Below are 26743 nucleotides of genomic sequence, written 5' to 3' on the forward strand. Positions count from 1 at the left end.
CTCCCTCTGAGAGAGTAGGGTTATGGCTGAATTTCAGTTCCTCATTTGTCTATATTTTACAAATAATATATAATGAATGAAAAAATGACATATATTTTATGTGAATCAGGATATTTCCTTTCTTCTTGCCACATGCATGTGTTTCTAGTCACTTTGACAAGGCTTTATTGAGTGTCCACTGTGTGTCAGATGCCAAAATGAAAACACAGTCTTTGCTCCAAAGAGGGTAGCAGTGGTGGGAGAACTGAACAATAGCCAGCACAGTGTGTGCCAGATATGGGAGCACAGGTGAGCGAGATACTTTCTGCCTGGAGAAAGAATGCAAAGAGATTAATGAAGACATGCTACATTTCATTTCATCCAAGTTGGATCTTGAAAAATGAATAAGAGTTTGTCAGGTAGACTGGGTATAACAGAAGGCATCCTAGGCAAAGGGAGCAGCCTGAGCAAAGAGGCAGAGGTATGAAAATGTAGGGTGCCCAGGGGAGTAATGTGAACCACTGGGGGGCTAGAGGGGAGGGTGCATAGAAGGGAATAAAAGGAGATGAAATTGAAAACATGTTTGGAGGTGGGTTGTGAAGGGTTTTGAAAGACAGGCTGAGAAATTTCAGTTCCATCCAATAGAGAAACTTGTAGCTTTTTTTTTTCTTTTTTTTGGTAGGGGAGTAATATAATCCTAACCCTTATAAGCTAGCAGAAAATGAAAAGAATTCAATATATTCCAAGTCAGCATTTACAAATCATTGAGACTTCACACATTTTTGGCTTAGCCCCAATTACTAGCCTCAAAAAATAAAAAAATACATTCCTTTTTCCCAACCTAAATATAAAGTGCCTTCTTATGTTATATTAATATATCCTGTACATTCTGTATTTTGTGTGTTTTTAATAAAATGTTTTACTTGCTCTTAATGGTCAAAGGAAAATATACTTAAGATTGAACAGTCAAATTCACAGTAAAGAGGGGAATGATTTATATTTTTCTTTATTTTAAAAGTGGATCAAGGAGAAAAGACTGGGATAACCTGTGACTTGGCATTTATAGGCTGCTAGTCCTGGAAAATCACCTAGTGCCCAGAAATCCAAGATTTGCCAACAGTGGGCCACATGATCAGAAATCCACGTGTATAAGCTATATCAGCATGTTTACGACATGACTACAGTGGTGAGTCAAGAGGGTCTATGTTTGGCTAAGGGGAATTATATATGATTCAAACCTTAGTCAAACCATGGAAGCTATCTACATAGCTGTTTTTCTTTTTTCAGTCTTTCTTTATAATATAATACTCTATTGATTTAATTTCAATAATAAATTCTACTGAACTGCAATTATAATTACTGAACAATCCAACCTTGATGTCATGACACCTCTCAGCCTTCAGATACACGATCATAGCAACAAATAAGTTCTTAGGCTCTACCTCTCTTACATTTGATCAGTGCTTGGTTATTAGGAAAACCTTCTGGTTTTTGCTAGAAATCTCAGGAGATACACATACATGAATGGATACATGAATAAAATACAGATTTCTAATTACATGGCTGGCTACTCAAAAAACTTAGACACCTTTCAATAAGATGATCTCTAGGGTCTCCTCCAGATAAAACATTCTGATACTAGCCCAGCCCCACCTTTTTGGAAACAAGGAATTTGGGAACAGACCTGGAAACATATATATATCCGAAGTCTCCTGGTTTCCAGAGTTGTAAGCTATCCATGATGTCAGGTCATCCCTTAATTGAAGAGGACAGAGGGGAAAATCTCCTAAAAGGGAGAGACTGGAGCTGCATGATGAAACTCACCCTGTTGAAAATCATCACTTCACTGTCTGTGGCAAGGTAGCGATGAAATCCCAGCTGCACAGAAAGCAGCAACAGGATGGACCCCCAAACCAAACCACAACACACATACACACGAGTGAAGACTCCCTCTATATTCGGTGTCAATCTAATTCGTTAACAAATCATCTGATGGTTATTCAACTCTAACTTGACCATTCAATGGCAATACAATGGGGAAATTTAGGCAGAGATGTTCTTAAATTGAAATAAAGCTAATATTTATTGTTTACCTTGTGCCAGGTTCCAAATATACACCATCTCATTTTATCTCCATAATGACCCTAAGAAGTAGGTGCTATTATTGTTCTAGGCGTTTTACAAAAGACATGCATTTTACCAACTGAAAGTGACTTACCTACAAGTCTGGAATCAACATCTAGACAATACGACTTCAAATTCCTGAAATACTAAGACTCTTTCACCATTGTTACTTGATATGAGTTACTCCATCACCTAGTATCCAGATTATAGCCTATTCTTTAAAAAAGCTTCTCCTTAAAAATTAAGCCTTAAAACAAGAGCCTCCTTGATTTTCTTAACACCAAAACAATTTTGAAGAAAAGGCTTTTAATATTTATCAGTCTTCTCTAATATGACCATTTGACCAGTTATTTAGAGCTTGACACATGGAAGAATTTAGCCCTTTGTCATTTTTAACAAACCCTGTGAAAATATGACAAATTACTAGAGAATGGTCTTGTTTAGTACAACTCAAACAGGTAGAGTAAAAGGTATAGTAAATATCCTACAACTTGGGTTACATTAAACATAGTGATAATGTCATCTACTCAAAAGTGTGATAACTATATAATAAAAATGCTGGGCATTTTTATGTTCTATTTGGGAATCCTAAACTCCAGGTTGAGCAAAAATTGAAACTAAGTTGTTACTTTACAAATGGCAGGTAGCACTTGATTTATAAGCTATGGGAGGGTAAAAATGATACTTCAACTACAGGAAAAATTAATTTCTAGAATCTTAAAATTAGTTTTAGTCTAAAAGACTACTATTTTACTAAAATGAAAATCTAAACTCTCAATCCTCTGAACTTTTCTGAGAACTTCAGAAATCTATATATTCAAAAACTACCAATTACATGCTTCTATAAGACAAATGCATTTAAATAATTGTATTTGCTTCCTTCTTTATTCATCATTCAATAGATAATTATTGAGTGCACTGTTCTGGGTCCCAAGGGATATAGCTGTGAACAAGACCAAGCCCCTGCCTTCATGATATTTATATTACACTTGGTGAAACACTAAACAAATGTAGCATAATAGTTGAGAGCTCAAGAGCCAAAGAGCTTAAATGTCTGCTACAATATTCAAAACCTATGTGACCTTGCATAATTTACTTCTGTGTTAAGTAATTATACCAGAGATAATAATTAGCATCTATTGTTACATAGTAATTATTATATACAGGAAAAGGTTGTTGTAAAGATTAAATAAGTTAATACATGTAAAGAACTGAGAAAAGTGTTTGACACACATAAAAGCCCAAATAAATGTAAGCTATGATTAGGAAAATAAGTATTTAAATATACTTTAATGTAGTGATTTACATTGTATTTACAGGAAAACATTTTTCTATGTAGATAATGACTGTGAATTAAAAAATTCAATCTCAACATCTGTAAAATTACACTAGAAATATAGCTTTATACTTATCACACATGGATCAAATGTGAAAAACAGGAAGATTCTAAAATCTTACCTACAGAGTGAATTGGACATGTAATTCACCCTCAGGAGGCTTCAAAATTTGGAGAATGTTACAACTCAACACTGTCTTTTATAGTTTCTTCTCTAACAATATAAGCCTATTCCAAGCTCAAAACTGGTGAGAAAAATCTATGTGATTTTAATGGAAAGTCAGATTATTTAGTCTAGCAATGCAAATAAGCACCTGCTTCATGGCTAAAAATAAATTAGGGTAAAATCTGGCTTTTTGCCTAAAAGGCAAAAAGGAATTCCTTTGGGAATTCCTTCATATTTGTTCTCTTAAGAGTATGTGACTGTGAAATCTTTAGAGGGATTTTTGACAAACAGATCCCTGCTTGCCCTGATCAGAAATAGAAGTGTTACTGGCAAATACAGAAACAGTTTATGTGATTTGGGCTCATAAATGGAATCTCCGTAAGCACAATCATTTAGGAGTATTAGTTTTTAGTGTTTTGGTTGAGAAATTTTAAAAATTGAGTAAAAATGTGTAAAATTAATAGTGCAGGAGTGTTTATTATGACACAGAGGGAAGGATGTATAATTGAATCATTTTAATTCAATTACAAATGAAATATTGGCATTTAAAGCATTTCTCAAAAAGTGATGGAGTAATCTATTAAGGGTTTCCTATAGGGGATATCAGTCTAATGTTATGACACAAAGGTTAGTGTTGGCTATTTTCCCCTCTTCTTGAGTTGAAACATCCTAAAGCAGCATGAATAAAAATCTCCTCCTCAGGCTTCTGTACAAGCAAACTGAACAAAGCCCCTTAAAATCAACATTTCAGGCTTGATAGTGTTTCTGTACTATAAAAGTCAAGTTGTTTTGATTAAATTTACTGAAATCAACTAGTTTTCCAATTCAACATTTTTTTCTAAGCTAATAAAGTTTGCAAGCTCATTTCGGAGGAGGGGATTGGAGAGGAGAAATACCTAGTTTTGATTTATATTATCATTTCTTTTATGCTTCTTTTGGACCATTTTAACTTTTCCATTTTGAAAAGTAAAAGTATCAAAGTTTACTATATTTTCTTATATGATTTTTATTGTCGTGTAATTATTTCAAAAATTGGAAGTCCATAAATAGCTACGCTATGGTTTTGCCCTTTTCCCCAAAGCGTATAAAAAAATAAAATATATGTCAGTCAAATGATTATTGTCTTTTAGTCAATGGGTTTTTTCCTTTCCTTTCATATGTAATTTTAGAAATTCATAATGGTTTCTCCCTAGGTATCAAAATAAAGATGTGCATGTAAAACATTTAAAAATGCACAGGGCAAACCGAGTCCAGCAGCACATCAAAAAGCTTATCCACCACGATCAAGTTGGCTTCATCCCTGGGATGCAAGGCTGGTTCAACATACTCAGATCAATAAACGTAATCCATCATATAAACAGAACCAAAGACAAAAACCACATGATTATCTCAATAGATGCAGAAAAGGCCTTTGACAAAATTCAGCAGCCCTTCATGCTAAAAAATCTCCATAAGCTAGGTATTGATGGGACGTATCTCAAAATAATAAGAGCTATTTATGACAAACCGACAGCCAATATCATACTGAATTGGCAAAAACTGGAAGCATTCCCTATGAAAACTGGCACAAGACAGGGATGCCCTCTCTCACCACTCCTATTCAACATAATGTTGGAAGTTCTGGCCAGGGCAATCAGGCAGGAGAAGGAAATAAAGGGTATTCAATTAGGAAAAGAGGAAGTCAAATTGTCTCTGTCTGCAGATGACATGATTGTATATTTAGAAAACCCCATCGTCTCAGCCCAAAATCTCCTTAAGCTGATAAGCAACTTCAGCAAAGTCTCAGGATACAGAATCAATGCGCAAAACTCACAAGCATTCCTATATACCAATAACAGACAAACAGAGAGCCAAATCATGAGTGAACTCCCATTCACAATTGCTTCAAAGAGAATAAAATACCTAGGAATCCAACTTAAAAGGGATGTGAAGGACCTCTTCAAGGAGAACTACAAACCACTGCTCAACGAAATAAAAGAGGACACAAACAAATGGAAGAACATTCCATGCTCATGGGTAGGAAGAATCAATATCGTGAAAATGGCCATACTGCCCAAGGTAATTTATAGATTCAATGCCATCCCCATCAAGCTACCAATGACTTTCTTCACGGAACTGGAAAAAACTACTTTAAAGTTCATATGGAACCAAAAAAGAGCCCGCATCACCAAGACAATCCTAAGCCAAAAGAACAAAGCTAGAGGCATCACGCTACCTGACTTCAAACTATACTACAAGGCTACAGTAACCAAAACAGCATGGTACTGGTACCAAAACAGAGATATAGACCAATGGAACAGAAGAGAGCCCTCAGAAGTAATACCACACATCTACAACCATCTGATCTTTGACAAACCTGACAAAAACAACAAATGGGGAAAGGATTCCCTATTTAATAAATGGTGCTAGGAAAACTGGCTAGCCATATGTAGCTGAAACTGAATCCCTTCCTTAAACCTTATACAAAAATTAATTCACGATGTATTAAAGACTGAAACGTTTGACCTAAAACCATAAAAACCCTAGAAGAACACCTAGGCAATACCACTCAGGACATAGGCATGGGCAAGGACTTCATGACTAAAACACCAAAAGCAATGGCAACAAAAGCCAAAATTGACAAATGGGATCTAATTAAACTAAAAAGCTCCGGTACAGCAAAAGAAACTACCATCAGAGTGAACAGGCAACCTACAGAATGGGAGAAAATTTTTACAATCTACCCATCTGACAAAGGGTTAATATCCAGAATCTACAAAGAACAAATTTACAGGAAAAAAAATCAACCCCATCAAAAAGTGGGCAAAGGATATGAACAGATACTTCTCAAAAGAACACATTTATGCAGCCAACAGACACATGAAAAAATGCTCATCATCACTGGCCATAGAGAAATGCAAATCAAAACCACAATGAGATACCATCTCACACCAGTTAGAATGGCAATCATTAAAAAGTCAGGAAACAACAGGTGCTGGAGAGGATGTGGAGAAATAGGAACACTTTTACACTGTTGGTGGGACTGTAAACTAGTTCAACCGTTGTGGAAGTCAGTGTGGCGATTCCTCAAGGATCTAGAACTAGAAATACCATTTGACCCAGCCATCCCATTACTGGGTATATACCCAAAGGACTATAAATCATGCTGCTATAAAGACACATGCACACGTATGTTTATTGCGGCACTATTCACAATAGCAAAGACTTGGAACCAACCCAAATGCCCATCAATGATAGACTGGATTAAGAAAATGTGGCACATATACACCACCGAATACTATGCAGCCATAAAAAATGATGAGTTCATGTCCTTTGTAGGGACATGGATGAAGCTGGAAACCATCATTCTGAGCAAACTATCGCAAGGACAGAAAAACAAACACCACATGTTCTCCCTCACAGGTGGGAACTGAACAATGAGAACACTTGGACACAGGAAGGGGAATATCACACACAGGGGCCTGTTGTGGGGTGGGGGGAGGGGGGAGGAATAGCATTAGGAGATATACCTAATATAAATGACGAGTTAATGGGTGCAGCACACCAACATGGCACATGTATACATATGTAACAAACCTGCACACTGTACACAGGTACCCTAGAACTTAAAGTATAATTTAAAAAATTAAAAAATAAATGCACAAGAAACAGAAACACAGCACAAAAACAAACCTATCCCCTGTGGACACACCACCACTACTTGATATGTGTAATGCCAATTGCTCAACTAGCTAATCAGTTCCTACTGTTGGTTGGAATTATTTCTCTTGATATTGTGGAGGACCAGTTCCCCCCAAGAAGAATTCAGTTGTCACTTAACAATCTTTTTTTTTTTTTTTTTTGAGACGGAGTCTTGCTCCGTCACCCAGGCTGGAGTGCAGTGGCCTGATCTCTGCTCACTGTAATCTCTGCCTCCAGGGTTCAAGTGATTCTCCTGCCTCAGCCTCCCGAGTAGCTGGGATCACAGGCACGCGCCACCACGTCCAGCTAATTTTTTTGTATTTTTAGTAGAGACAGGGTTTCACCATGTTGGCCAGGATGGTCTCGATCTCTTGACCTCGTGATCCGACCGCCTCAGCCTCCCAAAGTGCTGGGATTACAGGCGTGAGCCACTGCACCTGGCCCACTTAACTATCTCTTGAAGGTAATAATCAAAATCACATCACAACTGTATCGACATGGTTTTTTAGCTTACTTAAAAGCAGCCACTCTCTTAACTACAGTTTCTTCATTTAAAAATGGGGAAACAGGAAAACCAAGAATGATTACACAATCTGAAAGTTTTGTTTCATTATTTTAAAGCAGGGGCCTCAGCGCCATCCCATAATGAGGGAATTCTAATTGTCTGCATAATTCTAATATAGGAAGGAGGGAGAAAATGAAACTTTGGGCACAAAGGCATGTTTCTGAACCTTTATCCAACACCATTTCCATTGTGGGAACCACAAAAAGGATGATAAATTAATAAAAGAAATAGGGGCCAAATAAAATCTTAAAAGAGATAAAAAGAGGAAGCCAAACAACCACAACAAAAATTGATAATATTCAGCTCAGGAAGAGAATAATTTTCTTCCCTAACACAGTGATCTCTGACTTATCTCTCCCAGTAACTGAAGACTTAAAAATCATTTGCACTCCGATAACATCAGATTTTGCAAACTCGCCTTTGAATAAAAGGTCTCAATGTATATTTGCCCCTATGTTTAAATTGCCAAACCAAGATTTGGTTCTTTGATTACAGTTATATTTCTATAAGCCATTAAAGTTTTAATTAGCAGTGATTAAAATCAGGTGTATATTCTGGAATTCCTCCAAGAAATCAGATTTCTAAGTTATATAATAATTTCTATTACTAAACAAGCCTAATTTTGTAAAGCACATATGTGCACATTTTCTAGGCACATTCAAGGTGCTCAGTGAGTTTTCTTCCTTAAAAAATTATCTATTCCCTGTAGGTGCATTCTCTACACTGGCAATAATTAAATAACACTACTTTTGATTTTGAAAATGTTTACCATGAAACTAGTAGCAGCCACTTAGCCTAAAAAAGTAAAAAGGCCTTTAAAAAATACCAATAGAAAACATAACTGAGATTTTAAATGAATTTAGTCATACTCCAAGCAAAATCATTCCAGATGATAGAACACAACTTTTATTTAACGTTAGTTGTTAATTCTATTTTCCAACATTAACATTATGGGATGCTGGTACTACATGTATTTTGGTTGTTTCAAAGTACACCACATTGTAAATAAGTAATAAACACCAATAAATCTTGCTCCCAGATACTATGTTGCTGTTGGGACAGATCTGTATCCCCGTTTATTTTGTAAGGAACTATACTAAAGGGAATTCCATCTAGGTCTTAGCTAGTTAAGTGACTACTATGTTATTAGTTTATACACCATTACCCTAACTTTTATTTTATATTTGATATTTCAACATTTTAAATGTCTTTATCCTAATGGATACTATTTCCCTACTGTTACTTAATAAGCAAAATTTAAAATATTCCATAAACTTGTAATGCTCAGTTCTTAAAAGGCTCCTTAGGATTATACTATTTATATCTTTTAAGCTTTTATGATATTTTAGACAAATTTTAATATAAGGATCTATACCACTCTTTCATTTAACAAAAATTTAAAGTGTACATTTACATTCTAAGCACTTTGCTAGGTGCTGGCAACACCATAAAATTCTGACATTTTCATTATTTTTACAATGTGAAATTGTCAAAATTATCAATTTTTCAAATTTATTTTGAGGATACCTAAAATTATACTCATGTAGATACCTATTTCTGTAGACTTGAAACTCGTGTTCTTATAGTTGCCTAACCTTTACTGTCCCATAAGAAAGGGACAACTATATGAGCTATATAAAATTTACAGAAAATCTTTATTTTTATTTTTTTGCCTTTATCCAGCAATGATTTTCTACATGAAGTCACTACTAGTAAATTTCCCATCTTCCTTCAACCTGTCTTTACAAAGAACATGGTAATCTAGGGCTAGAGGCATGGAAGAGGGAACAAAGAATAGTTAAGAAAATAGTAATAATAGCTGCCGAGTATTGTATTCTTAACTAAGTGCCAGGAACTTATCCATTTTCTCAGTTACTTCATAAGATACATGTTATTTTCATATCACATGAGAAAATGCAGTTCAGAATGATTAAATGACTTGTTTAAATGTATACAACTAGTGCAAAGTAGAACTGGGATTTGAATCCGGGTCTGTGTGTTCCCCAAGTCTATCCTTAGATGCTGTACTAGATAAACACAAATGATCTCCTCTTTCCATTGACGTTTAGTAAAAAAGAGGGAATGAGCAAGAAATGGCCTAGGAGTACTCTATTCTCTGGATGTAGATGAAGGAAGCCTTTTGTTTTTTAATCATCTACTCTTTGCCAGGTATTATTTGTGGTGTCCTTTCCCTCAACAGCCCAATGGTTGTTCCCATAGTATGGGTGGTATGATCCCATAGTGGTAAGCAGAAAAGCCAGGCTTCAAGCCTAAGTCTCCAGTCCTATGCCTTATCATTGTCTTCTACTAACCCAGGCAGTGACACAGTGAGGGTAGCAAGTGGCTACGAAATCTCCTTCCAGGATAGGACCAATGCAGTGCTGCAAGATCAGCAAGCATCACTGCCCTCAGTGTTTCCAACTGGTTATTCTAACTGGGCAGTTTTACAATAAGGTTGTCCTTCCATGAAATTAATTCTCCTTATCAGTGACCTAAGACAAGGGTTGGCTTTCTAACTGCCATAAAGTCAAGAGAAGCTTTAAAGAGAAAAAATGTAAAAATGAAACAGATTCTATAATAATATGTGATTCAAACCTACCTGCAAAAACCTTGGGAGAAGATGGTTTGACTCAATGCCAACATATATGTGCAGCAGTTCCAGGAGAGATACGGATTGGCAAAGTCGCATCACAAGTCCAATAGCATAAAAAGTGTCAACCATTGAATCTGTATCCCGTGGGTTAAAAATGCAGATATAGGAAGAAAAAACTGGATTATAACCCAAATTTATGCAGCACTTTGAAGTCAAATGGAGATTATTCACTTCCTTTTTCATTGTACATGTGAAAAATTCCTTAAGTAGGCTACTAAATTATTAACAATACAATGCAAACAAACAAAGCACTTCATACTGTAGTCTATTTTAATTGCTCCTGTTCCAAAAAGAAATCGAAACTTGAGAAAGATTTCATGGCCAAACATACACATAGCATTTATTCCCCACTTATAAGATTATAAAGCAATTCCCACATAAGAGTAACCTCCTAGAATCTAGACCACCTCAAGTGTAAATAGAAGTGAGCTTGTTAAGGACACTATGTGCTCACAGCTTCTCCACTGACAAGAAAATGACAAAGATGAGAAAAAATATTATTTCGGAGAAACTTTATGGAAATGACACTAATAATGCCATGATATCAAATAACATAGGTATCTAGGATTTTGTTTCTATACATATTTGGTTAGTGCTTTTCTGGATTTTGTTAAACACTGGAACTTGGGCCTCTGATCAGGACTTTTGGGGTTTGCATTGCAGAGGGTTCACATGAAATACTGTGCACTTGGAGCTGAAATGGAAGGGAAACAAATGTTCCTCTACATAGGATAAATGTGTTGCTTTAAGTTCTAAAATGAAATCCTGCCATGTTTAGAAACTCGTAGGGAAGATTTTGCTCTCTTTACTGCCCAGTGATGATTCACACAATAATAATTTACTGAGCAGTAAGGATTTCTCTTCTCGGCAGCTCCACAAGATGGACACTATTATCATCATCCCCATTTCAGAGATGGTTCCTGAAGTACACAGTCCATGCTCTTATCCACTGCCCTGCACTTGCTGTACCAGAGCATTATGAATTACACAGCTCCGTGAAGGAAGAAGGTAGCAGGTATAACACGTTCAGGGTTTCAGGTTTCTGTTGAGCTACTTACATAATTTATACATTGATTCAAAAATTGTACTGAAACCACACTTAGTTGTTTTCAGTCTGTCTCCTGAACGAATCGGTTGTGTTTCTTTAATAATAAGCTTCTACAATTGTAATGGCAGGATAATAACTGAGAAAGAAATGCGCCGAGCCGGGCACAGTGGCTCACGCCTGTAATCCCAGCACTTTGGGAGGCTGAGGCAGGCGGATCACCTTTGGTCAGGAGTTCAATACCAGCCTGGCCAATGTGGTGAAACCCCGTGTCTACTGAAAATACAAAAATTAGCCAGGCATGGTGGCGGGCACCTGTAATCCCAGCTACTCAGGGAACTGAGGCAGGAGAATCACTTGAACCTGGGAGACAGAGGTTGCAGTGAGGTGACATCGTACCATTGCACTCCAGCCTGGGCGACAAGAGGGAAACTCCATCTCAAAAAAAAAAAAAAAAGAAAAAAGAAAAGAAAAAAAAAGAAAGAAAAGAAAAAGAAATACTTGATGACTAAGGCAACTTTTCTCACTGGAAAGGTGAGACAGCATAAGCCAGTCCATGGCTTGTGTTGCCAATGACATGTAATATGCCTGCACTGCCTCAGCAAACCTCAAAGGGCTAGAAGTGATGGCTTTTTAATAAAAATATAAAAGAAGTTTTCCCATCACCTGTGTTTTCCTGTGCTTGAAAACTCTCAACATTTGTAGTTGAAACTCAAGCTTTAGGTTATATCTTTGGAGGTCCTTAACAAAGGCGAGACTATATCTGTAGATTTTCAGTAAGAAAAAGCAACATAAAATAGCTTATGGGACCCTGCAAGTAGAATAACTTCCTTATGATACACACGTCTGAAATGATGAGCACAGCATGACTTTTCCCAGCTACATTCTAAACATTTGTTTTTAGCTGAAGCCAGCAGTTGCTTAGATTGTCAAGTCACTCAACAGTTGTAAACTGTGAGGACACTTACCCACGTGCGGATGGAACATGAAGAGAATGTTATTTTGATAGTCATTTAGTCACCCAACAGTGACTTTACTTTTCAGGAAACTAGAGGAAGTTTATGACTTAAACCATTAATGCTGACTCCTATATAAGTGGTTAGCCCTCTACAAAGTGTGTCATTTACATATTACTTCTTAAAGGGACCAAATAGAGGCTTGGGGAATATAAAATTTGTATTTCACTTACTAGTAGTCTCCAGTTACCTCAAACCTGGGGAATAATACAAACACTGGAAGAATTTGATTCATTCCTGATTTCTCTGCATAAAATGTTATGCTGAGATTTCCTCAAAACACTAGAAATCTGCTAAGGTTTGGTACAGAATGGAAAAGGAACAATGAAATGATACCACCTCAGTGCCATCCATCTCTTTTTTGAGGCAAACTGCCAACTCAGGGGGAAGCCAAATCCCTTTCCCTTACTTATCCCACCTTCCCCCTTCCCCAAGAAGGTTTTGCAATAAACATGGTTGCTAAAAAATACAAATTTTAGAGAAGGATATTAGAAGGTTGAGGTGTGTAGAAATTTAATATAAGCAGGATGAGGTGAAAACAAGGATTAAAAGTTAAAAATAAAAAAACTGTTTCGGAGTTTTACCTTTTCCAAATGAAAAGAATCTGACTGTCATATTTGTAAATATCCAAGAGTGGCCACAGAACTGGATTAAGTAATAGATGAAAAGATACGCATTCTTCCTATACCTATAAATACAGGAAAATACCATTAAACACTTCTTTTATAATCATCCTTTCATCACTGTACACATGCCCTTTAATGTACTGGCCAACCTGAGAAAGCAAAAGAAAACTGTTTCATATCAGTCTTTTATCTGGTTACCCCCAAGTACATATCAGATTTTGAAGGGAGCCATAACCTACACTACCCGCTAAAGTAAATACAGATGCTTCTTCACTTATGATGAAGTTACGTCCTGGTACACCCCATCAGCTGAAAATATCATAAACTGAAAATATCATAAGTTGAAAATGCATGTAATACAACTGATCTACAGAACATCACAGCTTAGCCTAGTCTACCTTAAACTTGCTCAGAACACCTACATTAGCTTACAGTTGGGTGGAATCATCTGGCAACACAGTGCACTGTGGAGTACCGGTTGTTTACCTTCCTGATCATGCGGCCGACTGGGAGCTGCGGCCTGATGCCGCGGCCCAGCATCATGAAAGGATATCATACCTGCACATCGCTAGCCTGGGGAAAGATTAAAATCCAAAATTTGAAGTACGGTTTCTAATGAATACATATCATTTTCACACCATCACAAAGTTTAAAAAATTGTGAGTCATGGACCATCTGTATAGTGAGTTTGCTTAAAACCAAATATAGTGCTTTTTCAAAATCTGCTTTCATCTTTGATAAAGTTCTAACCTTGCTGCTCACCAAGGAATAAAAGAAACCACTGCGAAGGTGGCTTTGAATATTCTTTAAAAAAACAAAACAGGCTGGGCGCGGTGGCTCAGGCATGTAATCCCAGCACTTTGGGAGGCCAAGGCGGGTTGGATCACTTGAGGCCAGAAGTTCAAGACCAGCCTGGCCAACATGGCAACTTACAAAAAAAAAAAAAAAAAAGCCGGATGTGGTAACGTATGCCTGTAATCCCAGCTACCTAGCTGCTCAGGAGGCTGAGGCAGGACAATCACTTGAACCTGGGAGGTAGAGGCTGCAGTGAACCGAGACAGCGCCACTGCACTCCAGCCTGGGCGACAGATCAAAACTCTGTTCTCAAAAATAAATAAAAAATAAAAAACAAAACAACAACAACAACAAAAAATCCATGTGTGCAGAGTGGTTGACATGTCACTATGTGTTCCAGTAGCTCAGCTTGCTAAGTGCAGAACTTGAGACACAGTGTTTTAGTTCTGAAGGGGGGTAGGGATGGGAGTAATCCAAATGTTGGGTAATTCAGTAATTGGACACACCTGACTTTTGAACACATTATGTGATTGAGGTTAGTATTAACATCTTGCCACTGCCTATTAACATTTTGCAAGGGTAGATAGTTTCCTTCATCAGATACATATCGAAAGCAGTTTAGTTGCTCATACCAGAAGAGGGAAGTCAAGCTGGGTTTAACAATGTGTTGTGAGTTGCTGGGGAGATGACTAAGAGAAGATTGACAGATAGATGGTTTGAGGGAGTTAGGAAAAGCACTGTTTGAAATGTTCCCTGGGAGTTCAGAAGAGTGACGGGAGTGGCCCTGCCAGTGTGGTCAAGATTTACTCCTCCTTGAAGATGTGAAACCTCCTAGAAACAAGGAAAATAAGCTGGGAGGCAGAATGATTTTTATTTGGGGACATCCTCCCCTATAAAGGCAGGAACTGCTAAAGGGTTTGGGAAGAGGAAATCCTCCTTCAGCTTGTATCAGAATTACCTGGCTTGTGGGTTAAACATATACACCCCCAGGCCCTACCGCTATATGACTGAATCTGTTCCCCGCCGGAACTAGGCCCTGAAATCTATACGTGTGATAGGTGTTTCCACGGCTGTTACATCTAAAAATCACCCCGCAACTCTGCGTCTGAGAAAGTCAAGAGAAGGCTCCTGGGGGGAGGGAAGTACTGGCAGAGGGCTCACAAGGGCAGGGGTAGCCATGCAGCCTGTCCTTCCCATTCAACTGTAAAATGGAGAAAATAACAGAGCCTGCTTCCTAGGGTGGTCAAGAGGGGTAAGTTAGCAAATACCTGCATGAGCTCCAAGGGGTGCCTGGGCACGGTAGCGCTGCGCCTTGCTGGCGGGCGGGGGGTGCCGCCCGCCCGCCCGCCGCAGAGGGGAGCTCCCGCCTCCAGGCCCTCCACCCGCGCCCCCTCCCCTCGGGATTCGGCCGAGCGCCCTACCTGGGCTGCAGCCAGGCGGGCAGCGCCAAGGGCCCCATGGGCCGCCGCCGCCAGGGCTTCCAGCGCGGTCCAGGAAGGAGTACCGGGGAGGAGGCAGGGGCGGCCCCGCGGCTGGGCGCGGAAGGGCGGGGCCTCTCCACACTCAGCAGTTTACAAAAAGAAAAAGCCCGAGGTCGTGCGTTGGGGAAGAGATGAAAACGAAGTTCTCGAAGTTTCTGCAGCACTGCTAGAGCGCGTCAGGGCGCAAGGCTGGGAGGCGGCTCGCGTTCCCGGTGGGGTTACCAAACTCTGGTTACAGCTTCCTAATCTTTGTGTTGAGACCCCCTTGCAAGCCTTCTGGAAATTAATGCATCTGGGCGATTTCCGGGGCCTCCGAACTCGCTGAAGCCCATCCCCAAACCTCCCGAGATGAGTGGATTCCAGGGTGGGCTCTGCTCAATGCCCACCGGTGAGCCAGGTTCAGACACGAAGCTTGTGCCGGGCGCAGTGGCTAATGCCTATAATCCCAGCACTTTGGGAGGCCGAGGCGGGAGGATCTTTTGAGCCCAGGAGTTCGAGACCAGCCTGGGCAACATAGCGAAAACGCGTCTCTACTAAATGTACAAAAATTAGTCGGGCATGGTGACGCGGGCCTGTGGTCCCAGCTACTCCAGAGGCTGAGGTGGGAGGATCGCTTGAGCCTGGGAGGTCGAGGCTGCAATGAGCCAAGATCACGCGGCTACACTCCAGCCTGGGTAACAGAGCGAGATCCTGTCTCAAAAAATAAATAAAAATAAAACGAAGTTTGTAGCACACCTCCCCAACACTTTTTCAGCTAGGGGCCTGATTCCTCTTCTATCAGGCCTCCCTGCTCTCTAATCTCCCTTGGGTTCTCACTGGTGCCTGCAAATCTTTATTCACGTTGTGTTAATTTCTCTAGCCTATGCCCAGCACTGCTACAACCCCTTCGTGATCTCTCAGGCTTATGACATCACTGTCTCCGTACACAGATGACCCACCCTCCTGCTTTGCTAATAAGATCCAGCCCATCTTCAAGCTCCTCTGCCCAGAAAGGGAAACGTTAAAACAAAAACAGAAACATCTAAGAAGGCACTTGCAAGTAAGTGGGACAATGGCACCTGGTTTTGGAGTTGGAAGTTAGCGCCCCCATTTTTACCAAAAGGGAAGTTGAGGCATTAAAAAAATGTTAAGTCACTTGGCACAGGTCACACAATTGATAAAATGGCAGTATCAGAACTTCAAGGTTGGTGGGATTTCTTGTTTGTTTCCCATTAGGCCGTGGCTTCCTTTTTTCATAGTCCATTCCATTCACTATGCCTACCTCTCACCTCTACATTTCTCTGCACCTTCTCTCATACCCTGCCCTCAGTCGGAGGTTAACCCCAACTTTGTGTTTACCAGTCCCTTCTCAGACTCACTGCATCAGTAGTTAACCATCGCCTCTTCTTGCATCGTCATCCCCTCCTTTCCATTGGCTTTCACTGCACTTTAGGGACATAGACAACTCTCTCTTAGCATATAATTAAACATTGTATTCTTTCTGTTTCTCTCTCAATGGAATCTTCTAATAACTCCCTGCCTGCCTTCTCTGATCAGGTGCTTCTTTCATTTCCTACCATCTTCCTGTTCCATAATACCTTACAGTTTGACTCTCCTGACACTGCTCCGTCCGCGAGCATGTTAATTTTTCGCCGAATCCCTATCCTGTATCACCTTGCAGGATGATGCCCCACGGTCCTTGCTTTTACAGAACATTTGATCTAAAGGGTAAACTGGTGGCTAACCCATTATCAATGCTATCTCTGATCAGGTTAAGCAGCAAGAGAGAAAGTAAAGTCCCAGATGGCCTGCAGTGGGGCAGGAGGGAGAAGGTGGAAAGCCTGCCCAGAAGAATTGATCCTTTGTCACCAAACACAGCCCCTGCATCCACATCCTCATTGACAGGTCTGCTGCATTTTACCAGTTCTGTCTGTCTGCCATTTACCCCTGAAGTTCTACATATTCTACGTCTCTTGCCTTATGTCCCTTCTGTCTCTCTGGATGGGTCTTCTTCTCCTGCTGTATTTCCTCAAAAGTCTGCCCTTAGTCACCATCCATTTGTCACCATGTTATCCCTCAGCATAGACAACCACACATGGCTTTATCTCCATGTGGACAACTTTTGACTATTATTTTCAGCCCTTTCTTCTTTTATGAATACTATCTCTGGCCTTTGAGCAGCTTTTGGATATTTCCTCATGAAAGTCCTATTGTTTGGACTATCTTTGGAACGTCTTCCAATTCAACCTATTTAAAATAAGCATACTATCTCTCTTCCTAAATCATTATTTCCCACAGAAAGACCACCATTTTTCTAGCCACTTGATTTTAAATTGGGGAGTCATCATTAAGCACCCCATCCAATCAAATTCGATTGATCCCATCCTTTCCAGATCTCCTACTAATCAGTAGTGTTCTTTGTCCATTCCTTATTTTCCAGTACCTGGGTGAGGAGTAATTGGCCTCCCTCACATCCATTCTTTACATCATAACTCAGTTGACTTTCTGGAGCGTCTTGGGTTATATCTTTCTGCTGCACAAAAAGAGGCCCTTTTTAGTTGCCAAAAAAGAACAAGCCAATCAGTCGAAAAATAAAAAATCCTTTCAAATCAAGCAGTTAGCTGATTCTACGTTATTTCCCAAGGAAAGAGTACAAAAAGAGCTTAGGAGAGAACATTTTGTATGAAAAGTGAAATTCTCCCTTTCCCCTGGTCAGTTCCCAGTCCTGCCCACGTCCTGCCAGCATTATCAAGATGGCCTCCCCCAGCCTCCCTGCCTCCAATCTCTTTCCTCCTTCTACCCAGACTGCCATAGATTATTTAAGGATGGCAAAAATATTTCTTAAAACACAGTTCTGATGTAGCCATTCTCCTGGTCTAAATCTTTTGCTGACTCCCCGTTGCCTGCTACAGTATATCTCTTCTTGCCCCTAAACCTGTCACATGCTGACATCTCCTACCATCCTATCCCCTTACCAAAAATCACAGCAACCTGCTGTTCCATGACCACACCAGGCATTCTCTGGCCAATGTGCCTCTGTGAAAAATTTCCCGTCTACTTTTTCTATTCTACCTCCTCCCCTTATCACAGCCCAGTACTTACCTGTCAAAATTCTATTCATTCTTTAAAAGCCTTCCCAAAGATCCCCTCTGGGAGTCACATAGGCTAACGTATGTCTATGTTGGTATTTATCTTAGGGTATTGTTGTTGTCAAGGTACTTGACTATTTAACTAGATTATAGATTCTCAGAGGCTTCTCTCTCACTAACAGTGAGAATTTGACAACTTTTAACCTTTAAAAATGAAGTTTCTTTTGCCAAAAGCACACAGTTATTAGAAAGATCAAATAATAAAATTTATAGATGAAAATGGATAAAAGCCCCTAGTACAGTGCTTGGCATAGTAAGTATCCATAAATATGTTGGATGAATGAATTAAATCTAGTATGAGTTTTCTATTCCCAAAATTTTAACCCAAAACAAAACATTCAGTGATAGTTACATTACTGAAGTATGTATATTCAACTTTCAGTTATCCACTGGTACAGAAGAAGTCAGAGTCCAAGATAACAACTGAATTAATATATTCTAATCTTTAGAAGAAATTTTAAAATTATTCGAACATGTCAATTTTGTTTTCCTTGGGCAAATGCTTCAATTTGTTTTCATCCCAAAGAGCACCATCTGGGAGGCTAAAACCTTGAAATATATTTCATGGCAGTAACAGACTGGCTACAAAATAAATTCTTTTTTATTTTCAGCACCTTGAGTTTTCAGAGGTCACTCCTCTCCCTCAAAGAAAACACAGAATAAAACTCTTTGTGACCTTGGGTTAGGTAGAGATTTCTTAGGTATTTCATCTAAGAAGCCCTCTTAGATAGCTAAGCAAGCATTTCTTAGCTACTTCTGGCCTTCAAAAGACACTTTCAAGTGAGTGAAAAGAAGCTATATAGTAGAAGAAAATATTTAAAAATCGCATAACTAATAAAGAACTTGTTTGCAAATATATACAGAACTCTCAAAACTCAATAATTGGAAGACAATAAACCCCCCCAAAATAGGCAAAAGATTTGAAAACACACATAACCAAGTAAGAGACAAAGAAAGAACATAAAAGTATGGTCAAAATAATTAGTAATTATGGAAATGAAAATAAAACCACAATGAGATATCGCTACACACTGATAAAGATGGCTAAGATGAAAAAGAGTTAACCACCACAAGTGTTAGTGAAGATGTGCCACAATGGGGATTCTCATAAGCAGCTTTATTTTTAATAGCCAAAAACTGAAAACAACCCAAATTTCCATAAACAGATGAATGGATAAATAAATTATGGCATAACTGTACAATGAAATCCAACTCAGCAGTAAAAAGAAGTGAACTACTGATACAAGCAATAACATGGATGAAATTCAAAATAATCAAACTGAATGTCAGAAGCCAGAAAAAAAAAGAATAGATACTGTATGATTCTACTTATTTAAGGCTCTAGAAAGTGGAAACTAATCATCACTGATAGAAGGAAAATAAGTGGCTGTCTGAGGATAGATAGTGAAGAGGAATGAAAAAAGGGAGGGATTGCAAAGGAGCATGAGAGGTGGAAATGTTAATTGTTTTGCTTGTGGTGAGGTTTTTCAGGCATGTATCTATCTTAAAACTTATCAGTTTAAATTGATTCAGTTTATTGCAGTTTAGTATATGTTAGTTACACCTCAATAGAGCTGTTAATACACTAACACACTAATATTTAACACACTAATATTTATAAAGAGAAATGTAGGGTTTTCTGTTTTGAATAACTTTTATTATTGCTTATGATATAACATCCTGTGATTTTCAAGGGAAAAGTAAACAATACAAAACAAGATTTTTCAATAAAAAGAAACTCAGTATGCTCCAGGGCAGACTCTTTGATTTATTGCCCTTCTCCCCAAGGCACCTTAGCGTATGGCATTTACACAATCTGCAGTTGGTGAATACTGGGTCGCAGACCTGTACATATAGGCCCCTGGGTTGTCTTTTAGTTCATGATAGCTTCTTGAGGGGCTTACTTGCACTGGTGTCTGTACACTAGGTGTATCCTCATTCAATATGTTGATAGTAACCTAGGCCCACTTAATACCAATTAAAGACCCCCTATCACCTCCTGTCTTCTCTCCTTCCCTTGACAGTCTTCCTTTCCATCCCCAGGCCTCCATTCGTTCTTCATTCTCTCTGCCATCTCCTCATCCCCCTGGCAGTTCATTCGGAAACTTCTGTGCAGGCACTGCCCTGTCTCTCCCACATTGTGCCCTGAATTTGGTGCTACCCTAAGAGCTCACAGGTTTCCCTGCATCTGCCTGAGAAAGGACACTAAACCTATGGCATGTGATTCTTCCTCTTGGCTTAGGATATTTCTATTACCACATCTCTGTTCTTGTAGCAGGGCTGGGGTAGATGAGGCTAGCAGGGCACCTAGGGTACAGACTTTGAGGAGGAGCTCCCCTTCAGCCTTGCAATACTGAGAGGGGGTGCCTGCTTAAATTTTGCAACTTAGGCATCTCCTATTCTCACTAAGTCCCTGCCCTAATTTGTGGTTTTGGTTTAGGCCTGGGGTAGGGAGCTGGGGAGAGGGAATAGGGGCTTTGCTATGTAGATCTTTCCATTCTATATGCTTTTTAAAAATTCTACATTCCATTTTGCCATGCTTCCTTTTTTAGAATATCTTTCCTCCTATCCTAGAAACCTTGCTACTAATTCCCTAGGCAGGAATGTCTCCCCGTATTTTCATATCCTAGGTTTTTGTTCCCTGTGGCTTATTGTAAAACTCAATCCACAGCTCTCTAAGCTTTGCTATCCTAAAAAGAGTCTTTGGGGGAACTGAGAAATTCCTTTTATTCAAAGCCAGTGCTTCACTGGGGACTGCAAGAGCCCACTTTGATAGGTAAAAGCCCAGCATGAAACCATTTCATTCCTTTACATTCTTCCTACCACAAGCCAAATTTCCTGAGGCAAAAAGGATGATTCTGGCAGGCTAGGAAGGTCATGCAAAGAGATGCAAAAAGAAAATCATATTACGGTCATCCCTTGGTATCCATGGGGGATTGGTTCCAGGACAGGCTACCTGCCCCACTCCAAGATACCACAGTCCAGAATTCTCAAGCCCGTTATATAAGAGGACATAATTGCATATAACCTACACACATTCTCCCATATGCTTTCAATCTAGATTACTTGTAATATTTAATACCATGTACACATTATATAAATAGTTGTGATATATTTTTTAATTTTTTTCCCAAGTATTTTCCATCTGCAGTTACAGAACTCTCAGATATGGAGAGCCAACTGTAATATGTTTCAAAACTGTTATTCCTGCTATATATAGTTAAGGTTTTATTTAAATTCACAATTTTCATTTCTATATATTCTTGTTCAACATCATTGCCTACGATTACTGAAAATGACTTTTCTTAGGTTAACTCACCTTATAAACTGCTTAGAAGAATCACTCAGAGAAAAGCAAGTTATATGCTAATTTTTTAGAGTTTAGTTTTTTGGTGATGGGAACATTATTTGGGTTGCAGATATAAGTAGTTTCAAAAGAAGATAACTTTTATAGTATCTCAGATAAAATCATTTGTGTTATATTCTGGTCATTATTAAAGGCAGTGTTGCTTTTTGGTAGTCTAAGGTAAGAGGTTTTCTAATGAGCCTGTAAGAATTTAAGAGTTTGTAATTGTATGATATACACACAGTCAAGAAGCAAAACGGCAACTTTTTTTTTTTTTTTTCTAGTAGAGACTGAGTCTTGCTATGTTGCTTAGGCTGGTCTTGAACTCCTGGGCTCAAGTGATCCTCCCACCTCAGCCTCCTGAGTAACTGGGATTACAGGCATGAGTCACTGTGACTGGCCCCTGCAACATCTTTTGTAATCTATTTTTGAATAAGGAAAGTTAAAAAACAAAGAGGTAAAATTAAAAGACATGATCTAAGCATTTAAAATTAATTTGTCTAAAAGTTATTGAAAGCCAGGCATTGTTGCTTATGCCGGTAATCCCAGCAACTGTGGAGGCTGAGGTGGGAGGATTGCTTGAGTCCTGGAGTTCAAGACCAGCCTCTTTAAAAAGAAAAGTTATTGACTCACTGGATGTTTAAATAGATTAACACAGTTCATATTATATACTTATATAAACTTAACAATGCTAGGAAATGCTTGTCCCCAGAAAAATATGACCAGAAACCTTTCTTCCTTGAATAATGGGTTTCTGGGATCAAGAAAAAAGATTTACTCTCCAGATTCTTTTATTCTGTATTGCCTCCTAAAGGTTGGCTATTCTCTCAATTCAGAGGGATTAGATAAGAAGATCATAAAGATTTTTATGATCTGGTTCTAATACTCTAAAATGCCATGATTAATTCAATTTCTCAAATATATGCTTTCTATAAAAGCTGTTCCTAGAAAAGCCATCAGCTGTAAATGTTGTTAATGTTTGTACTTCTTCATTCATGCTTTGGTTTTATATTTTCACTCTGCTGTTTGTGTATACTTTCCACAGAATTGTTTATCAAAAATATTGTGTAAGACCTGGGCCTTTATTGGCCCTAATTGTTTATCAAAATTATTGTGTAACACCTGGGCCCTTATTATCTCCTTTGGGAGATAATAAATATAAAGGCAAAAAGACCTGGCCTCCATACTCAAGAAGATTACAGTTTAATAATTTTTATTAAATTATTCTCAGAGACAGAAATAAACAGTTACAGGAAGCAAGGAATTTTCACTCAGGAGACCTATTGGAGAGACCTGGGTTTGAGTGTAGGTTTCGCTTCTCTGTGATGTTGGAAAAGTATTAAAGCCTCTCTTGAGCCCCAGCTCCTTTATTTTTAAAGTGAAAGTAATGCTGTTACAGACCCTATTGTACTTCCTGTGTGAGGATCAACTGAGGTAACTGTCACAGTTCAAATGATATGGAGGCCAAGGTCCTGGCAAGCCCAGCAAACAACCTGCCTGAAGCAAGTTTGAAGGTAGAGCCCTGGATGCTGCCTGTCAAATTATGTGGAGCCCCATAGAAGACAGAAAAGTGGGGGTCAAGCCATGGTAGACAAAGGAATTATCATCACAATGAAGTTCAAGAGCTTAGACCTCAATACATTTTCTGTATTGAAACAAGGAGTCATATTATAGAAGAGGAGGTAATGAGCAGATTGGTGGGGGCGCGACAAAGGGAAGAGACGAGGTGGATTCAGAAATGGAGGGTTCTGTAAGGAATCAAAAAGTCAAGGCTGAACCCAGATAGGAATATCTGGGCTGGTTTTCTAGATAAGGATTGGCTAGACAAAAGCAGGAAGAGGAGGCAGAGAGATGTCAAAGGCAAAGTATGCTTGTATTTGCCTATTAGGCAGATAGAAAACTGATTTCGCTGTCTCTGGCTAGGTGTGTTGAAGGTAGGTAGAGACTGGGTCTCTGTAGGGTGTATCAGAGGATGGCTAGATGGCTAAATAGCATCTCTACACATTAGATACCAGGGTCAAGGGAAGAGAAAGAAAACTTCGCCTCCTTAACATTAGTAGTGGGCTACTTAAGCTTGGCCTACTCAGTGCAGGTTAACCTTGCTTTGAGATTTAGTCGGTTAATTTTTAAGGTTTATTAGCTTAATGTAACTACATTTAAATGTCCACTCGTCAAGTTTGTAATGGTTTCTTATCTCCTCATTAGGAATAATCTTTACTGCATATAAAACTTTTAAGACCTCGGTGCAGATGGTTACTTGTTTTATATTGCTGGTATGAAGTTCTATTCTATATAGCTGGAGATTGCTTTAGTGGTGCCTACTGTATTGTCTGAGAGACCAAATCCATAGATGTGCCAGCCTCAGCCCCTAGGAAGCAGCAGGCATCCTCTTAGACCAGCCTGATGAGCAGCGAAGGCATTGAGTAGAGGACCAGTAGAATTTAGTCAAGGAAGAACAGAAAAGAACTGCAAAATAGGTGCCCAAATCAGAGAGTAGCCAGGTAAGGAGCCACCAGGAGACAGAGATTTAGAAGAAAATGGGACTAGTTCTGTTGAATCCTAATTGATGATCTTGTTGACTCCGACTTGCCTTTATGGGATGGGATAATCTCCTTCCACATTTCCAAAATGCTCTAGATATGAGCTTTAATAAAAAAAATTTTTTTTTGGTAAAACCTTTCTCTATAAAAGCCATAACCAGTTAAAAAGAAAATAGAATTATAAATTCCATTCACAATACTAACAAAACTATAAGATCCCTAGAAATAAAGAAGATACAGATTACTTAAGAAGGAAGATTTTTAAAAAATCATATTATAGGATATTAAAAAGGTGAAACAGAAGGAAAAATATATCATGTTCTCAAATGGAATCCTTAATATTCTCCAAATTTAAAATTTCCCAAATTGACCTATAAATCGAAGGCAATTCCAATGAGAGTCATAAAGAGGCTTTAAAATTGAATTAAAAAGGCCGAGCACGGTGGCTCACGCCTGTAATCCCAGCACTTTGGGAGGCTGAGGCGGGTGGATCACAAGGTCAGGAGATCGAGACCATCCTGGCTAATACGGTGAAACCCCGTCTCTACTAAAACTACAAAAAATTAACCGGGCATGGTGACGAGATTCCATCTCAAAAAAAAAATTGAATTAAATAATCTTAAAGTTCATACAGCATGTCTAAGAATAGCTAAGAAATTAATAAAAAAGAGGAATAGTGAGAATGACTTGAATTATAGGATAATAGATCGTAAGAAAAACATTTAAAAAAATTACAAGACAATGTATCATAGCCTCATGACATTGATATAGAAACAAACAAATTGAACAGAAAATAAACAAGATCCCAATAATGAATTTTTTTTTATATATGGAAACTTAATGTTTGACAAAGATGAAACGTCAATTCAATGAGAAACTATTATGATCTAAGAAATGGCTTTTACATGTGGTTAATCCATCTGGAGGAAAGTAAATTTGGAAAATTACCACACACCACATAAAAGTAAAGAATTACATGTAAAGACAAAGGCAATAAAACATTTTATAAAATTTAGATGATTATCTGGACAACCTGTGTGTTAGAAAGAGCTGTTCAACCAAGATAGGATTATAGATTTTTTAATGCAAAAGAATAGGCAAAGAAGATAAATAGGCAATTCACAGAAAAGATAATACAAATTTGTGGGTTTTTTTTGAAACAGAGTCTCGCTCTGTTGCCCAGGCTGGAGTGCAGTGGCACGATCTCAGCTCACTGCAACCTCTGCCTCCTGGGTTCAAATGATTCTCCTGCCTCATCCTTCCAAGTAGCTGGAATTACAGGCACCCACCATCACACCTGGCTAATTTTTGTATTTTTAGTAGAGATGGGGTTTCACCATGTTTGCCAGGCTGGTCTCAAACTCCTGACCTCAGGTGATCTGCTCACCTTGGCTTCCCAAAATGCTGGGATAATAGGCATGAGCCACCGTGCCCAGCCGAGAATCCAAATTTATGTGAAATATATGGAAAGATGCTCAACTCTTTAATAGTCAAGGAAATAAACACTGAAGTAACAATAGCATATTTTACATCCATCAAGTTGGCAAAAAATTTAAGAAGCTGTAACACTTTCTGCTAATAGGGATAAAATGAGTTAGCACCAATCCAGCGCATTTGGTGAAATTTGGTGAAAAAACGAGATATGACCAGGTAGAATATATGCATCATACCGTTCCATCCCATTTTTGTAAAACAGTGATTTACACACCGCAAGAAATACACACAAACAGTTGCAAGATGGTCATTAGTCACAAAATAAATATCACAGTTTCAAATACTATTGACAGTAGGCCATCTTCAGGGAATAAGTTGGCCCATTTAATGTTTTTTCCTTTTTAAATTTAGCATCATTTCCGTATAGTAAAATGCAAAAATCTTGAATATAAAATTCAATGAGTTTTGAAAAAAAGCGTATACCCAAGATAACTCACTCCTCATGAATATATAGAACATTTCCGTTGCCCCAGAAAGTTCTTCATGTCTTCTCAGTTGACTGGTTCCTGTCACATGTCCCTTCCTTGTGACTTATTTCTATCACTACAGATTTGTTTTGTCTGTTCTGAAACCTATAAGTGGGCTCATTATGTACTCTTTCATATTTGGCTTTTGTTGAGCATAATGTTTTCGAGATTCCTCCAAGCTGCTGCATGTATCAGTGGTTCATCTTCTTGGTGAGTAGTATTCCATTTTATGAATATAACACAATTTGTTTCTCCATTCTCTTGATAGACAGTTGGATTGTTCTCAATTTGAAAATATTAT

The 26743-nt window shown here is 38.6% G+C and overlaps 1 protein-coding gene and 1 long non-coding RNA gene across 6 annotated transcripts in view, besides 3 other annotated features; one reads left to right on the forward strand and one right to left on the reverse strand.

Annotated features, from left to right (window-relative positions):
• The window catches only part of HACD4 (3-hydroxyacyl-CoA dehydratase 4), a 32132-nt gene extending 16637 nt beyond the window's left edge, over window positions 1-15495 (reverse strand). For 3 of the 5 annotated variants that reach the window (NM_001010915.5, NM_001321903.2, XM_047423390.1), the window contains exons 1-3: window positions 15408-15495; window positions 13150-13253; window positions 10451-10578 (exon numbers count right to left, since the gene is read on the reverse strand). In NM_001010915.5, the coding sequence (NP_001010915.2) occupies window positions 10451-10578; window positions 13150-13253; window positions 15408-15445 (270 nt within the window). In that variant the 5' untranslated portion in view covers window positions 15446-15495. Of the gene's footprint in view, window positions 1-10450; window positions 10579-13149; window positions 13254-15254 lie in introns of all 5 variants that reach the window. The other 2 variants (NM_001321883.2, XM_017014713.2) reach the window with 1 other exon arrangement.
• Window positions 15271-15630: a silencer, noted in NCBI's record as "silent region_19804". NCBI's record gives its function as "represses an Ori minimal core promoter by ATAC-STARR-seq in GM12878 lymphoblastoid cells {active_cell/tissue: GM12878}" and the evidence as "EXISTENCE:reporter gene assay evidence [ECO:0000049][PMID:35858748]".
• Window positions 15271-15834: a biological region, named in NCBI's record as "H3K4me1 hESC enhancer GRCh37_chr9:21031418-21031978".
• Window positions 15274-15834: an enhancer, noted in NCBI's record as "H3K4me1 hESC enhancer chr9:21031418-21031978 (GRCh37/hg19 assembly coordinates)". NCBI's record gives its function as "activates a minimal SCP1, AML or CMV promoter by ChIP-STARR-seq in naive H9 embryonic stem cells {active_cell/tissue: H9 hESC(naive)}" and the evidence as "EXISTENCE:reporter gene assay evidence [ECO:0000049][PMID:30033119]".
• On the forward strand, window positions 15497-17774 carry LOC105375989 (uncharacterized). The gene is made up of 3 exons (XR_007061435.1): window positions 15497-15855; window positions 16327-16506; window positions 17218-17774. It is a non-coding gene; the product is annotated as an uncharacterized LOC105375989 (long non-coding RNA).
• Window positions 17775-26743: the final 8969 nt, after the last annotated feature.

The sequence above is a fragment of the Homo sapiens genome, chromosome 9 (assembly GCF_000001405.40).
Source record: "Homo sapiens chromosome 9, GRCh38.p14 Primary Assembly".
NCBI classification, from domain to species: Eukaryota; Metazoa; Chordata; class Mammalia; order Primates; family Hominidae; genus Homo; species Homo sapiens.